This window comes from Homo sapiens, chromosome 1 (assembly GCF_000001405.40).
Source record: "Homo sapiens chromosome 1, GRCh38.p14 Primary Assembly".
In the NCBI taxonomy this organism is placed as follows: domain Eukaryota; kingdom Metazoa; phylum Chordata; class Mammalia; order Primates; family Hominidae; genus Homo; species Homo sapiens.
In genome coordinates, this window is record NC_000001.11 from 229644199 (window position 1) to 229660443 (window position 16245).

The 16245-nt window shown below is 42.2% G+C and overlaps 1 protein-coding gene across 3 annotated transcripts in view, besides 1 other annotated feature; it reads left to right on the forward strand.

Moving 5' to 3' along the window:
- URB2 (URB2 ribosome biogenesis homolog) overlaps positions 1-16002 on the forward strand; it is a 33954-nt gene extending 17952 nt beyond the window's left edge. For 2 of the 3 annotated variants that reach the window (NM_001314021.2, NM_014777.4), the window contains exons 6-10: positions 1661-1771; positions 3312-3554; positions 7037-7124; positions 10051-10190; positions 14902-16002. In NM_001314021.2, coding sequence (NP_001300950.1) covers positions 1661-1771; positions 3312-3554; positions 7037-7124; positions 10051-10190; positions 14902-15099 — 780 coding nt within the window. In that variant the 3' untranslated portion in view covers positions 15100-16002. The remainder of the gene's footprint in view (positions 1-1660; positions 1772-3311; positions 3555-7036; positions 7125-10050; positions 10191-14901) is intronic. The other variant, XM_005273360.3, reaches the window with a different exon arrangement.
- Positions 184-343: an enhancer, noted in NCBI's record as "active region_2707". NCBI's record gives its function as "activates an Ori minimal core promoter by ATAC-STARR-seq in GM12878 lymphoblastoid cells {active_cell/tissue: GM12878}" and the evidence as "EXISTENCE:reporter gene assay evidence [ECO:0000049][PMID:35858748]".

Consider the following 16245-nt stretch of genomic DNA (forward strand, 5'->3'; position numbering starts at 1 on the left):
AATGCCTGTGGGCACTGGACTGGTCAGACATCTCTTACGCAAGGAAGAAGGCCACAGGCCACAGAGCCAATGGTTGGTGGGGCAGAGAGTCCAGCCAAGGTCTCTGGTCTAGGCATATTCTGCCTCATGAATGGCTTATTGACTCCTGGTCATATACAGCACACTGGTATTGGGTACTGATTTGGGCAGGAGAGGAAACAAACCTAAATTTCTGTTTGGACCAGTTGGTCAGGAGACTTCCCGGAGGAAGTGAAACTCCAGCTGTGCACTGAAGAATGCAGGGGACTTGATTGGGGAGCAGAGGTGAGGGGAAGGGAGGCGTGCACCGTGCAGGCAGCGTGTTGGGCTGCCAGGAGCAGGGGATGTGCAAGAGTGAGAAGATGGACAGGGAGAAGTGGTGCCAGGGGGGCAGGCCCTGGTGGGGAGATAGCCTGTAGGTGGGCAGGAGAGTGGGAGTGGAGATGGGGCTTTGGGGTGTGCCTAGTCAGAGGGAGCAGGGAAGGGAAGAGAGTGAAAGGCAGAAGCCAGGACTTTGGCTAGGGTTGTGGGGTGGGCTGCACAGCATTCGGGGAGAAAGGGACGGTGTGAGGCTGAAATAGGAACTCACTGACAATGTGAAATGCCTGGCACTGGGTCTGTTTGTTCATATAGGCACCCCGTAAAGGTAGGGCTCTGCCCACATCTCATGGTTTAAAACCTTATTTTTCAAAGGGGAAGTTTTTCAAATTACAAATGTGTGGTCTTATTATGTAAAATACTAAGTATTACATATTCACAATACTGATATGTATAAAAGTTAAATTCTGGCCGGGTGCGGTGGCTCATGCCTGTAATCCCAGCACTTTGGGAGGCCAAGGTGGGTGGATTATATGAGGTCAGGAGTTCGAAACCACCTGGCCAACATAGTGAAACCCCGTCCCTGCTAAAAATACAAAAATTAGCTGGGCCTGGTGGTGGGTGGCTGTAATCCCAGCCACCTGGGAGGCTGAGGCAGGAGAATCGCTTGAGCCCAGGAGGTGGAGGTTGCAGTGAGCAGAGATCATGCCATTGCACTCCAAGCCTGGGTGACAGAGCGAGACTCGGTCTCGAAAAAAAAAAAAAAGTTAAATTCTGCTCACTCTGTGCTTAAGACCTCTCCCACCATATATTTTGAAACATGTGACCCGATTGGGTCATATTGCCCTCATGTCAGCATGTAGCACCCGTGACCACAGCACCTAATCCGATTGTTTTCACATTTTCCTCCAGCCCCTCCTATCTGTAAGCGTGCATCGTTGCTCAGTGAAGTAACAGCCAGTGTCCTCTGCGTGGACAGAGCCTTGACAAGACGGGCTCTCTGTAATTAGGTCACAGTGTGTGACCCTTTTGCAATTCACTGTCCTGGCCGATTTACGTGCTTGATTTAGTGAAATGCTGCTGAAAGACCCTGACTTTGCCCCAGCTCTGCTCATCTTCTTCACTTCCTTCCTGTCTGCATGCTGATGTGAAGGGTGTCCCTCCCAGGACTTAACCCCAAGCAGGCCTTGTCCACCTCCCCTGACACCAGGGCTCTCAATCCACTCCAACGCCACAGCCCCAGAGAGCAGTCTTCTTCCCCAGGCGGAGTTCTTAAGGGAGAACACGCTATCTCTGCCGCTAAGTTTTTTCTCTCTTGCCCCAGGCTGTTGTGTCAGCTGTTACACTGCTGAGGCTGCTACTGAACTGCCCACTCAGTGGAGAGAAAGCAAGTCTGTTGTGGCGTGCGTGTCCCCAGATAGTCACAGCTTTAACAGTGAGTACCCTCTGGAGATGTGTCCTCTAGCTCCTCCCCTCCCTCTTCCTGTAAAGACAGAAGTCAGCCTTTTGGGGTCTGCTGCCCTGTAGCTTTATGCAGAACGTGTGTGTGGGCTACTTCCAAAGGGCGGTGGTGAGCAGGATGCCGAGCTTGTGTGTCCTGCCTGAGCACATTGGTATCAACGGTTGGAGCAGTGGAAGGGAAGTGCTAACAAGGGACATTTAGTAGCACTGGGAAGCATCAGACAGGCAGTAAGAAGAGGGATGTAGTGATAAAGGGAGGCTATCGTGGAGGCCTGCTTAATTTTTAAAATTTTATGTTTTATTATTTTTTTAGAAATGGAGTCTCACTGTGTGGTCCAGGCTAAGGTGAAGTGGCTATTTGCAGTTGCAAATGTAGTGTTCTGCAGCCTCAAACTCCTGGCCTCAAGTGATCCTTCTGCCTTAGCCTCCCAAGTCACCAGGATTATAGGTGCATGCCACTGCAGCCAGCTTGTAGATGCCTATTTAATCAGATGATAAAAGAAGGAATTCTGGGGCTTTCTTTGTCCCCACAAAATGTTGTGGTTAGTTTAATGCACTCATTTATTTGTAGGAGTTGTATGTGTGTGTGTGTTTAAGGCCTATGATACAGTGAGAATAAAATGCTTTACAGGATGGGATAGTAATGTTGCAGATAGGAGTTTATTTTGTTACAGTCTTACTCAAATGTTAAAATTTGTGTCCAGTTGTTGCTAGGCTGTTTGTTTCACTAGAACAGTCTGGTTCAGATTGGGACTGCCTCCTGCCCTCTAAAAACCCTGACCTGGGTGTTCTTACACTTAGGTGCGAAGGAGCAGTATCTATTTTACCATCATACTCTGCCCTAATTCTAGCTGTTGCTACCTGAGACAATTGCCCTGGGTTAGCATGTTCCTGGGGCAAAAGGGTCTAAAAAACAGACTTAATATTCTCTCTTGTTTCCAATTTGGCTGCTTTGTCATTTTCCTGAGCATCCGTGTTGGTGGATGGCAGGGGTCATCGTCACCGAGCATGTGTGGTGAGCATCAGGAGAGGCACGTGACCCATGCTGACGGGCAGGGACAGTGTTGATGATGCGTGTGGTAGGCCCTCACTGATAAGAACACTGGGCTAGAATCCACTTACGTCCACCCAGAGGGTGTAGCAGGGGTCCGCACAGCCAGAATACCCAGCAGAACAGTGAGCATTGTGAGAGACAGGACCCAAAAGGCCTCACCAGGGCTGCTGTGTATCTGAGAAGGAGGGTCACAGGTGAGCTGTCCCAGGTTACTTAGGTAAGACTTTGAGCTGTCCTTCCTCTTGGGTCTGTTCTCTTTATATTCTAGATCATGAATTGAATATCTTTCACTAGAGCTGATCTGTAAGAAGTTTAGCAAATAGTATTTAACGGCCCACGGACCACATCAATTCATTTTGGAGCACAGACATTTCTACCTCAGTCACTCAGAGCTGCAGTGTTTGTGTTATTTCCTTGGGGAATTACTTTCATTTTTCCTTTATTTTATTTTGCCCTTTAGCTCTTAAACCGAGAAGCTTCTCAGGAGCAGCCTGTGTCCCTCACAGTGGTCGGGCCTGTCTTAGATGTCCTGGCTGCACTGCTGCGGCAGGGGGAGGAGGCCATCGGCAACCCCCACCACGTCAGCCTGGCCTTCAGCATCCTTCTCACTGTCCCTTTGGACCATCTGAAGCCGCTGGAGTATGGAAGCGTCTTCCCGAGGCTGCACAACGTGCTCTTCTCAATCCTGCAGTGTCACCCTAAGGTGAGAAGGAGGGTGAGAGTGGCAGGCAGCTTTTCCTCTGCGAGCAGGGTACTTGAAGTCTGTAGAAAAGTGGCAGCAAAACTTTACTGTTGCAGGATAATAATACAAATAACGATTTGCTAGGCAAACTTTCTGTTCTAGTAAATTTCAGAGCCAGGTGGTTTCTCAAGCATAAAAATGCTCGACCTTCATACTGGGTTTGTGAGCGAGTTTTTCTTCATTGGATCTGGTGCTATGAATAGTGTTTGTATACTACAGGTTGAACACTTCTAATCCAAAATGCTCCAAAGCTCGAAACTTTTAGAGTGCTGACATCATGCTACCAGTGGAAAATCCCACTCCTGACCTCATGTGACTGGTCGCAGTCAAAACACAGTCAAAACTTTGTTTCATGCAAAAAATTATTTAAAATTATTGCATAAAGTTACCTTCAGCTATGTGTATAAACTATATAAAGTGAAACATAAATGAACTTTTAAATTATATTTAGATGGGTCCCATCTCCAAGATATCTCATTGTATATATGCAAATATTCCGAAATCTGAAATCTGAAACACTTCTGGTCCCAAAGCTTTAGGATAAGGCATACACAATCTATACTATTTAAGGAAGCTCATTAAAAATTACTCTGTTTTTGCTCACCACGTCTTTAAATAAGCCACTCGCATAGATCCCTTGCTGGGCTTATAATTCAAATGGATATAGGGAATGAAGCATCCTGAGTTCCAGTTTTATAGTATGCTCCTTTTTAAGTTAAACTGAAACTAGGGATAAATGTCCCACAGAAAAAATTACAGTTCAGTTAACATTTATTGAACATTTGATGTGTTCCACCCCTATAGCAAGCCTGTGAAGGAGGCAGTAATCCCATTTTATTGATGAGTAAACTGAGGCTCAGTGCCGCCAAATAATTTGACCAGTGTCACTTAGCTGAGTCTAAACCTTAGACTCAAGACTTGTTATCTTTGACCAGTGTTCTTTTCATGGTGCCACCACTGTATGTGTGGCTGACTATGTATGTAGGAACTCATAGATACGACGGTTAATGCATCGCTTAATGACAGAGACTTGTTCTGAGAAATGTGTCGTTAGGCATTTTTGTTGTGCAAACACCATAGATCGTATAATACTTTCACAAACCCAGATGGTACAGAGTACTGCACACCTAGGCTATGGGGTATAGCCTGTTGCTTCTGGGCTAGAAACCTACAAACCTGTACAACATGTGACTAATGAATCCTGTAGACAGTTGTAACACAATGGTAAGTATTTGTGCATTTAAACAGAGAAAAGTTCCATTAAAAATACAATCTTATAATCTTATAGGACCACTGTTGTTTATACAGTATGCCTTTGACCAGAGTATTGTTTTGTAGTGCATGGCTGTGTGTCATATATTCATGCACATTCAGATACTTTTAAGTGTTTTGATGTCCTAAGGATAGAGACCTGCCAGCAATGCAGTTTTTAAGAAAAATATTCTCTGGTAAGCTAAACACTCATGACATTGGTTCTAACTCTAAAGCCTTCCCCTGTTAACAATTGCCTTTGACCCTATTTATCTTGTCAGCATCTTTGTTTTAAAATCTCTCTGCTGATGTTAGATTTGTATGTAACTGTACAATATAAATGCAATGCACATAAATTACAAACTGAAATTACAGGTGCAGGATTTCATGAAGTTGATGAAAGTAATACTAGAAAGCAGCTTGATTCTTCTGCAAAACCATTAGCAAATGACCATTTAGTGGAATTAGATCATTTAACGAATGGAGAAAATTGACAAGGATAATGACATGGTATTACAGTAAAGAATGATGTGAATTAATCATAGCTCACTCTCATCTGTTGGGGTTGTGTAGGGAATCTGATGGATGATCACAGCATCAACAGTGTGCATGGTAGGCCCACACTGATGTAAACACGCAGCCAGAATCCTCTTAGGTGCATCTAAAGGGTATGGTAAGAAGTCAGCACAGCCAGCATACCCAGCAGAATGATCAGCAGCTAGTGCTGTTCCAAGCACTTTACATGGCTTAGCTTGTTCAATCCTCATGACAACCTATCATCCTCATTTTGCAGATGAGGAAACTGAGGTGCACACATACAAAGAAAAGCTAGATGATTTGTTCAAGATCATAAGGAGCCAGAGTGTGAACCCAGATAGTTCCAAAAGGATTTGTGTGCTTTTCATCAGTATGATAGCAAAGGATTAAGAGAGGGTCCTTGGGGAACTGGGTGAAACGCTGGAATACTTTTGCAAAAACGACTTCTTTCTGAATATGCTGCAAAAAGTCAGTAATTTGACATGACGAATGTGGTATTATGCTATCAAAAATTTTGTTGGACAGATTATGCCAAAGAGAATAATCCCGACACTTGACTTACTCTCTGTTCACTCTCACACGTGATGCAGCACTGTCCAGCAGTGGTCAGCAGTGGTGGGTGTGTGCTGTGTCTCCATCGTCCAGTATGGTCACCACTGGCCACAGCTGTCTTGACCACTTGAAATGTGGCCAGTATGACTAGGAACTGAATATTTAATTTTATTTAATTCTAATTAATTTAAATGTAAGTAGTCACATGTGGCTGGTGGTGCTCTGCTGGACAGTGTGTGGTTGTGATTCAGACCTAAAGATGATTGACTATAAAAGAGGCATGTTTTGTCATCAAAATCTCATTTTCTTTTTTTTTTGAGATGGAGTCTCGCTCTGTCACTCAGGCTGGAGTGCAGTGGTGCGATCTTGGCTCACTGTAACCTCTGTCTCCTGGGTTCAAGCAGTTTTTGTGCCTTGGCCTCCCCAGTAGCTGGAATTACAGGCATCCGGCGCCATGCTTGGCTAATTTTTGTATTTTTAGTAGAAACAGGGTTTCACCCTGTTGGCCAGGCTGGTCTCCAACTCCTGACCTCAGATGATCCGCCTGCCTCGGCCTCCCAAAGTGCTGGGATTATAGGTGGGAGCTGCTGCGCCCGGCTGAAATCTCATTTTTCGAGATGAAGTTTTCAAGCAGACCTTTTCACCACTATTAATTGAGAGGTTTTGGTCCCTATTTTAAGTGCATTTGCTTCAACATAATCTTTTTTTTTTTGTACCAATGATACTTGAATATATTAATTAGTACTGTTCCTATTATTGTTTGTTTCTACCCATTTCCAGAATGGATTAGCACCAGCTTAGAGTAAAAGGTACAGACTCAGCAAATTCCAAACCAGGATTGCCCCATAGACCTCCTGAAGTTACGCAGTGTGGGTTCTCTACCCTAGATAGTTAAAACAAGGGTCAAAGAGTCTAATACAAGATGGGTGAGCAGTGACAGCAGCATGTCCAGGCGAAAGGATGTGGCTATCCCTGGGCACACACAACTGGTTTGAGTGTCCCGATAGACTAGGCTAAGAAAGAAATAAGTATGAGCTCCTTTAAAGTAGAAAAACTTAAATAATCACGTATGTACTTTTACATTCTGTTATCTGTCATTACAGGTAATGCTGAAAGCCATCCCTTCTTTCTTGAACTCTTTCAATAGATTGGTGTTTTCAGTTATGCGGGAAGGGCGGCAGAAGGACAAAGGTAATTTGGAGTAACATCAGACACAGTTTCAAATATATTCATCATGAGGTGTGGCTGCTGGCCACATATGTTACTGAAAATAAAACTACTCACTTGTGTTTAAATAAGAGAAATGATATCAAATGAATACTCAAAATATATATTTTTTAAAATTTCAAATGGTCACATTTTATCTTATCCAAAACAGTGGATGAATCAGGCATCTCCTTATTGAAATAGTTCCTTTTCTGGGAAAAAAAATATCAGATTTAGGAAATGTTTACTGAGCATGTATATCATGTAAAGGGGATATAAAAATGACTTACAACCCCATTCCTGCCCTTAAGGAGCTTATAGTTCAATAGGGAGATGAAAAGGAACAGGCAGGTATAGAGCAATCTCATTTTATAAAAGGGATAAGGTCCTGCCGCTCACTGTTCCAGCCTCACCTTGGCAAGGGTGTGTTTGTTTACTAGGGAAACACTAACTGCCATATGGCAATAGCATATATTATGTGTACAATTCATTTTTCAGCTTTGAAGTTGATTCTTGTTGAATTTCTAATTTGAGGGAGACTTTTATTATTTTAAAAATTGCTGGCCGGGCGCAGTGGCTCATGGCTGTAATCCCAGCAATTTGAGAGGCTGAGGTGGGTGGATTACCTGAGGTCAGGAGTTGAAGCCCAGCCTGGCCAACATGGTGAAACCCTGTCTCTACTAAAAATACAAAAATTAGCTGGGCGTGATGGTGGACTCCTGTAATCCGAGCTACTTGGGAGGCTGAGGCAGGAGAACTGCTTGAGCCCGGGAGGCGGAGGTTGCAATGAGCTGAGATCGCGCCATTGCACTCCAGCCTGGGCGATAGAGCAAGACTCTGTCTCCAAAAAAAAATAAAAAACAAAAAAAAAAATTGCATGAATTTCGATTTTATTTTGCAGTATTTTGAAATTGCATAGCATGTACCAGCCCTGTACTGTCTGATGTGCTAAGCAGTAGGTCAGGGTGTCAGCTCAGAGGCTCTGGGACCATAACTCAACTCGGGGTGTCAGAGAAGAGCCTGTGACCGTAGTTGTGGGCCGACTGGAAATACAGGAGTGGTGCTCAGCTTCTCTCCCACCATTGTGGTTCAGTTTTGTAGACCTAAGCAATAGGCTTTTAACCAGACATCTTTTGAGAAAAGGAAAAGGGCATTGTTAAGACTAGGCTTCAATTCCTCTGCCCGGTTTTGGGATCAATCAGTGGCACAGTTAGATATTTCGCTTCTTCCTGTATCTGGTGCAGAGCACGTCAGCTTCATATTGTGAATCGATTTAGGAGCAGCCTTAGTAAACAAGTTTCCCCTCCCATGCCAGCCTCAGCAAGTTGGTGGTGGCTGCCTACAGTTCTGTGTCAAAGCCTCTCCCATCATGTCTGAGCTCAGCAAGGAGGAATCTCTGTTCTTGTAGTCATGTCTGCCTGGACGGAAGGCCGGGGCCTTGCTCAGCAGTGGTGGAGCACAGCCTGGTCACACTGCCACAGGCATGTCCTTTGTCATGTATTTGAGGAAGCACAGGAGCACATCACACTTCTGGGACTCTGTGCTGTGTTCATGTGAAGGTAGCTTCGTCATCTTATCTGCTAAGACCTGGTTCTCAGACACATTCATGGCTTAACTGAGTAGAGTTTTAACTATTTTATTATCTCTTTTATTGGTATCTAATATGCTCTTTCTAATGAGCATGCATTAAATTGGTGGCCGAAATAACAAGTGCTATGTATTCATGTTGTAAATAGCATGTATATGGTGAACAGTCTGAAAAGAGAAGAAACAGTCAATGTTAGATATTAAAGCATATCACTAAAGTATATTGTCTGTTGAAATGCTACATGAATGTTAACAGTTGACATCATTTCATACAATTACATTGATCTAGAAAAATTACATCTATAAAAGATGTCTGTATGCTTATTCACGGTCTTCAAAAAAGATATGCCTTCTAAAAATCAAATTTATTGAGTTATATACAATGTATGCATAACAAATTGCTTCTGTTTAAAGTATAAAATTTAATGGGTTTTATGTATATATGAAGCCGTCCCCACAATCAAAATATAGAATATTTTCCATCATCCTTAAAAGATTCCTCTTGTTTCTTTGCAGTTTTTTCTCCACTCTGGTCCCAGCCCCAGTCACCCATCTGCTTTTTGTCCTTATGGATTTGTTTGTGTTTTCTGGAGTTTTATAAAAATGTGCCTACCATTGTGCTGAATGACAGCAGGGAAGGTGCTCTGGTGTGTGCTAGAACTTCCCCATGAGCTGTAACTCAAGCTGTGGGGACACTCATGCAATTAGGATTCTTGGGAGGAGTTTGTTAAGAGGCCCTGGACGGTCCTGACACCATATGGTAGGAAAAGAACTAGGAATCAGAAGTAAATCTAAGAAGACAGTAGAATGTCTGCTAATGATAATTGAGTCCTATGTCTGTCCACCTATAAAAGGCACATACACAAACAATTTCTGAAATGTAAGGAGGCAAAGACATAATTTAGGGTATCTCATTTTTTAAATCATATGATGTCGGTAGATGATTTTCTCCACTTAAGATAATTTTCAATTTGTTTTCCATTTGCCTTTATTATAGAACTCCATCTTGGTGTTTTTTTTTTTTTTTTTTTTTTTTAAGTAATCCTAGATTTCATCCTAAAAATCTTGATTACTTTTCTGGTTAGACTCTTAAAAACACCCGAGCACTCTTGAGTTTTTTAAAGTGTCCTTCCCTTTGTTGTGTAGATAACTGTTTGGACATATCTGTTCTCCCTTATTCTGTCTGCAAAATAAGCCAATTAAAGAGTCTGGGAAAACATGTAACACTTGAGATAATTTTCACCCATATTAAAAGTCTAACATAGAAGAGTTAAAATGTGCTGTTTTTGAACTAATTGGTTGGGAAACACTTTGTTGTCTGTAGGAAGCATAGATGACCTGCCTACGGTCCTAAAGTGTGCACGCCTGGTTGAAAGAATGTACAGCCACATCGCCGCACGAGCTGAGGAGTTTGCTGTGTTTTCCCCATTTATGGTGGCCCAGTACGTGTTGGAGGTACAGAAGGTAAAATTGGGTTCAATGTCTTTCACCAAGTACTGTGTTTATGGTCCTTAAGCAGGGTTTCTCAACCAAAATGGCAAGCGGTGTTCTGGATCTGACAGTTCTCTGTTGCTGTGTGCAAGTTTTAGACAGGGTTTTGCTCTCTCACTCAGGCTGGAGTGCATTAGTGCGATGATAGCACACTACAGCCTCGAACTCCTGGGCTCAAATGTTCCTCCCGCCTCAGCCTCCCAAGTAGCTAGGACTACAGGCATGTACTACTCCACTCAGCTAATTTTTAAATTTTTGTAGAGATGGGGTCTCCCTATGTTGTGCAGGCTGGTCTCAAACTCCTGGCCTCAGGCCTTCCTTTCTCTTCAGCCTTCCCATTCTCTGGAGTCCTGTCTAGTTCAAGGTGTTTAGCAGCATTCCTACAGGGTTATTGTAAGGACCAAATGAAATGACATACAGAGGGCTCAGTGGTGCCTTGTACACAGAAAATGCTCGATTATCTGTCTTGCTCTAGCACAAACTTCGGGGTCTATTTGGTTAGTTTCTTGAGTTATATAAAAGGAGAGGAAATGTTACTCAGGTCCAAGAACAGGAGCTCTCATAGGACCAGGCTTAATGGAGACTAGAAAGAGGAGTTCTAGACCTCAGGATTCTGGGATCCCCTCAGCTGCAAGAGTTCATGTATCTTTACTCTGGCGGTGTGTCACTCATGTGACTCAGCTGCTCTCAGACACTCAAAGTCGATGACAAGGTGGAGATACAGGTAGTTGTTAAAATAGACAGATTAAGAAAAAACATGTTTGTCCAAATTAATCTGACTTTTTGATTCAGTGTTCTGGATAATTCACTATTCAACAGTTATCTTTTTTCTTTTTGAGATGGAGTTTTGCTCTTTCTCCCAGGCTGGAGTGAAGTGGTGTGATCTCAGCTCACTGCAACCTCTGCCCCGTGGGTTCAAGTGATTCTTCTGCCTCAGCCCCCTGAGTAGCTAGGATTATAGGTGCCCACCACCACGCCCAGTTAATTTTTGTATTTTTAGTAGAGACAGGGTCTTGCCATGTTGGCCAGGCTGGTCTCAAACTCCTGACCTCAGGTAATCCACCCGCCTTGGCCTCCCAAAGTGCCAGGATTACAGGTGTGAGCCACCGCGCCCAGCCATTCAACAGTTATCTTACTTTGGAATGTCATTATGCTATTTTCAAAATTCCACAGGATCCTGTGTGACCCATAGTAAGTTCACTACAGAACTTTGTAAATCTATGCTGTATAAATCTTGGTTTAAATTGACTGTCATAGGCTTGAGCAAAGTGCGGTGTATTCTTTTGACTGTCTTCTTCTGTATGTATAGATATACATTTATATTGTGTTCAATCTCTCTGTAAAATACCCATTTCCCCTTTGTAAATCTTGTAAGAACAATAGTAAAATCACAAGTAAGCTTGTTAGGGTAGAGGTGTCAGCATTTGTCCAGGGAGGCTGGGTTGAATGGGCTTCCTTAGAAAACCTGGAGCTGCATCACTTTTCATCCCTGCTCCTGTTTTAGATACATCTAGAACTACTAAATAATTTCTACCCCGCTGGCCTTGCTCACCTCGGCAGGTGGCGATGCCTGTCCTGTGGGTGGGGACATGGGGGCAGCCTGGCCATGTGAGTGCACACACCTTACCGGGTGTGGAGCCCACACCTGGTAAGTGTTGTGGATCTTGAGAACACCCCTTCACGTTGTCCTTTGACCAAGATGTGGGCTTGTAGTTTGGTTTCATTGCAGTTATTTGGCCTTTTTATGGAATCTTAGTATTTCCCAAGCACACCAGTCGTTAACATGTAAGCTTTTGATGAAAGAAAAGCTGGCGTTATTTTCTGTCTTACTGAATAATAAAATGAGACATAGTAATATCACTTCACTAAGAGCCAAGAAGAGAAGCAGTAATTTGAACCCTTCAGTCACTAATTATTATTCTGAAATTTACTTTATGAAAAGCCTCTGGCTTCCTGGCCTCATTATTCATGTCTAATTTATGCTCATTAGTTATATTTTATTTTTAATCTTGAAAGCCAAAGGCTTTGGGAATTAGCTAGGGCCATAGCCTCCCAGAATCCACTGGCACCACAGTCCATGTTCTATCTTTCATTTTGTTTTTAAATTCAGCAATGAAGAAAATATTCCATATGCATTAGCAGCTTCTACTGAGAGAGCCATAAATCTTTCTAGACCAGCGTGTTTAAGTTTAATTAAATACCAGATCTAATGCTAAATAGATCTCCTTTGCATTTTCCTTGTACTTCTGCAGAGTTGAGTATTGCTGGTGGGACCTGTCAGTAGTCAGGGAAGACGACCTGGTGAGATGTGTCAGTCAGGAGAAGGGGCAGCTCCAGAGGCCCGCTTGTCTTCTTTCCTCCAAGCAGTAATGAGTCCCCATGGAAACATGCAGGGAAATTATGGTTACTTTCATCTCCTTTTTTACCTGTAGAGCAAATTTACAATGTCCCTCTACAGATGCTCCTGGACTTAGGAGGGGGCTGTGTCCCAATAAAGCCATAGTATATTCAAAATATCATTAGTTGAAATGCATTCAGTACTTGATAAACCCATCGTAAAAGTGAAAAAATCGTAAGTTGAACCATTGTTAAGTCCAGATGCTCCTTGACTTAATGATGCAGTTATATCTGGATAAATCTGTTGTTAATTCAAAAAATGTCAAGTTGAAAAGTGTTAAGTTGAACCGTCTTAAGTCAGGAACCATCTGTATGGTGATAGCTTAGAATAAGTAGTTTGTGCTGCTCATCTTATCTAAGGTTTTAAAAGCTACTTAGTGATGTTTTCATTTGTTGGCCAGTGATCTTAGTGTTGTAGAAATTGACTCTTTTCTTGTTTTATAAATAAGTTATCTGAAACCTAAAGATTTAAAGTGGTTGTGTTGTCTAAAACCTACTGGCCTTCTTACTACCCCCAGAGCTCTTTGCAAGAGGCTGTCTAGCTGCATTTTCACTACTGAGAAACTGTGTAAGTAGTTCAGAGCATGGGCTCTGGGCTCAGACTGCCTAGGTTCAAGTCTTAGCGCTGCCAGTTATTAGCTGTGTGACTTTGGGGAGGTCACTGAACCTCATTTTTTGCCTTTGGAAGTGGAATTATTTATTTAGTAAGTGATAATTAAATGAATGAACAAGTATGAATAAGTAGTCCACTTACAAAGCCCTCACCCTGCCAGTATGATCAAGGACTTTGTGTTTTTGTCTGTTTTTCGTTTTGTTTTGTTTTTTTCTTTCCCTCCCAATTACCTTGCTGTAAAATTCACAGACACGCCATTCTACCTTCGGTCCTTGAGTGTTGCTATCATCTATAAAATGGTAAAATTTAAGATGATCACTTGTCAGAAATTTCTGAACTATTACATGAAAAGGATCATAACTTTGAAGAGTAGCATCGTCTGAGAGACAGAAACAAATTGCCTCTTTAGGAATGTACTTCCCAGTGGTTGCCTTCGTGAATCAGTTCTTCTGGTTAATAAAATATGTCCTCATTAGAAACTGTGTTTGCAGAGACACATTAACCCTTTCAGGTTATCAGGGTAGCAATAAATGATCAGCCAAATTCCAGGCCTGTCTGCTGATGCTCTACCACTGCTTTGGTTTTTTTCTACTTCTTAAAAGTAATGGCAAAATACATCTAGTATAAGGTGAATTTTACCAGCTTAACTGTTTTATGTGTGCACTTCAGTAGTAGTATATACATTCTTATATTGTGCAGCCATCACCACCATCTGTTCCCAGAACTGTTCATTACTACTGCTTTTTAGTTTCAGTTACTAGGGTTTCAAACTCTGTTCAGCCCACATTTAGTTGAAACCTGAATGGATGTGGTAAGTGTGAAGAGAACCTGTTCCCCCAGCCTTTTAGGTTGGTTTGATATTAGTCTGAGTCTCTTCTCTGGAAGTTTGGGTGGAGCATCAGATACAGCCAGGTTGGAGCTGGCTGCCACCCACACTCCTGTGCTCCAGATTTTAGGTAACCCTGAACTTCAGGGGAGAAGTGCATCTTTAGGGATGAGGACCAGTTCAACCATTCCAGGGCTGTTAGGAATTAAGTGCATATTGTGCTGTTCTTGACATAAATAAAAAAGGAATCTATTAAATGGCAATCATGAAATCACTTCTGCTCTTGGGTGATATGATGTGATCTAATTACTAGTGTAGGCTTATCAGTGGTCTGTTTTGGTAGTTTCAGAGCCTGCCTGCTGCCTTGCTCTGGGGTGAGATGGGGGTCATAGTGTTATGGTGAACGTAGTTGTCATTGTCCCACAGGGTTGGCATAGCTTCCAAGGTGATTGACGGTGTAGAAGAATTTGACACAATGGGCAGGCAGCTTATCTTCTTATAAGGTTTTTAAATTTAAAGACTCCAGTTTTTTAAAATGCCCCTGGTAAACATGTAAGCATCATTTACTGAACAGCAAAGCCAGCCTTTTGCTTTCATGGAGTTTTATTCCAGGTTTGTGTTTGCTTGAGTTAGCTTCTATTTCCCCAAAATACAAACTTTAAAAATATGAGTATTTAAAGGTTTGACTTAGTAATAAAATTATATTTTAAAAGTGAATGTCGATTTTTTTCTCAATTTGGAGGTCAGTTTGAAATTACTTGTTAGTGCTTCCCAAGGCATTGTTGGCAGGTGGTGCGGCTTGATCTCTGCCCCCAATTGTTCTCACAGAGGTTTGCCTTTTTCCTCAGGTGACCTTATATCCAGCTGTGAAAAGTCTGCTGCAGGAGGGCATTTACCTCATCCTGGACCTCTGCATCGAGCCTGACGTCCAGTTCCTGCGGGCCTCGCTGCAGCCGGGAATGAGAGACATCTTTAAGGAGCTCTATAATGACTATCTCAAGTACCACAAGGCCAAACATGAAGGAGAGAAAAGATATACGGCCTAAGGCTATGGGACAGAAGTGCCGCCAGTGACACTGTCCAGAGGCTTTGGCTGCATGGTCTGAAAGAGCTGGAGAATGAAAGACTTAAGATGTTCTAATTCGTAGTATTGGTATACATAGAAAATCCTTTGGGGTTTATGTAGTATATTTTGATGTATTTTACATCGTGTTTTTCTTACTATTTTTTAATACATAGTTTTATGCAGTAAGTATTGCAATAGAATCCTGAAAATTGACCCTGGGATGAGATTAATTCAATAGAAAAATTGCTGACTCTTGGGACCTTTCTGTGTTTGGTTCTCGTCTTGGCTCAGTGGTTTGGTGTTCCCTCGTCTGCACTGGAAACTACATAAAACTTGGCTTTTTACTTTGGGTACATGGGCGTATAATTCAGCCCTGTTTAAATATACTTGCCTTTCAAATTCTTCAAGTAACATGGGAAGTATTCTTGAAATGTCACATTTTCTGCCTTCCCTCTAAGTATGCTTTCTGAAGAAGTCAGGGAAAGTTAGAGTCTGTGGCCTGAGGTGTCTGCTCTGGGTGGCGATAGTGGGCACCTCAGGCAGGTCGGTGACGTTTAGCACAGGTGCCAGGGCTCCTGCCTGCTCCTCCTGTGTTAGCTCTGTGAAGTTCATTTAGGAATTTTTTTTTCCTATGCAGTTTAAGAAATAATCCTAATTGTTTTTTCTTATTACCTAAGCAATATATTTTTATTATAGCAACCTCAGAAAAGAAAAATAAAAGGATAATTTAAAAAACTCATTCATAGTCTCAGTTACCCAGATAACCTCGGTTGTCACCTTGGAGTATCTTGTTGTAGTCCCTTTACTATGTGTATGTATATAGATGTGCATATAAATATATATAGTAGCTAAATTGGATCATAAATGCATTTTTTTAAAGTTACCTTTTTTCCTGTGTAATATTTTAAGTAACTCTGGGTCAGTGAAAACATTCGACATATATTTTTTTTGGCTGCATAGTAGTCCATTGAGTAGATATTGTTGTTTTATTTAATAAGTACACCATGGTTAGACATAGGTATCTGTCCAAATTCCCTTTTATAGATGGTGCTTGCAGCTGAATTATTTTCAGAAGATGAATTCTCATGAGTTGTATTATTTGTCAGAAAACCACATCATTTTTAAA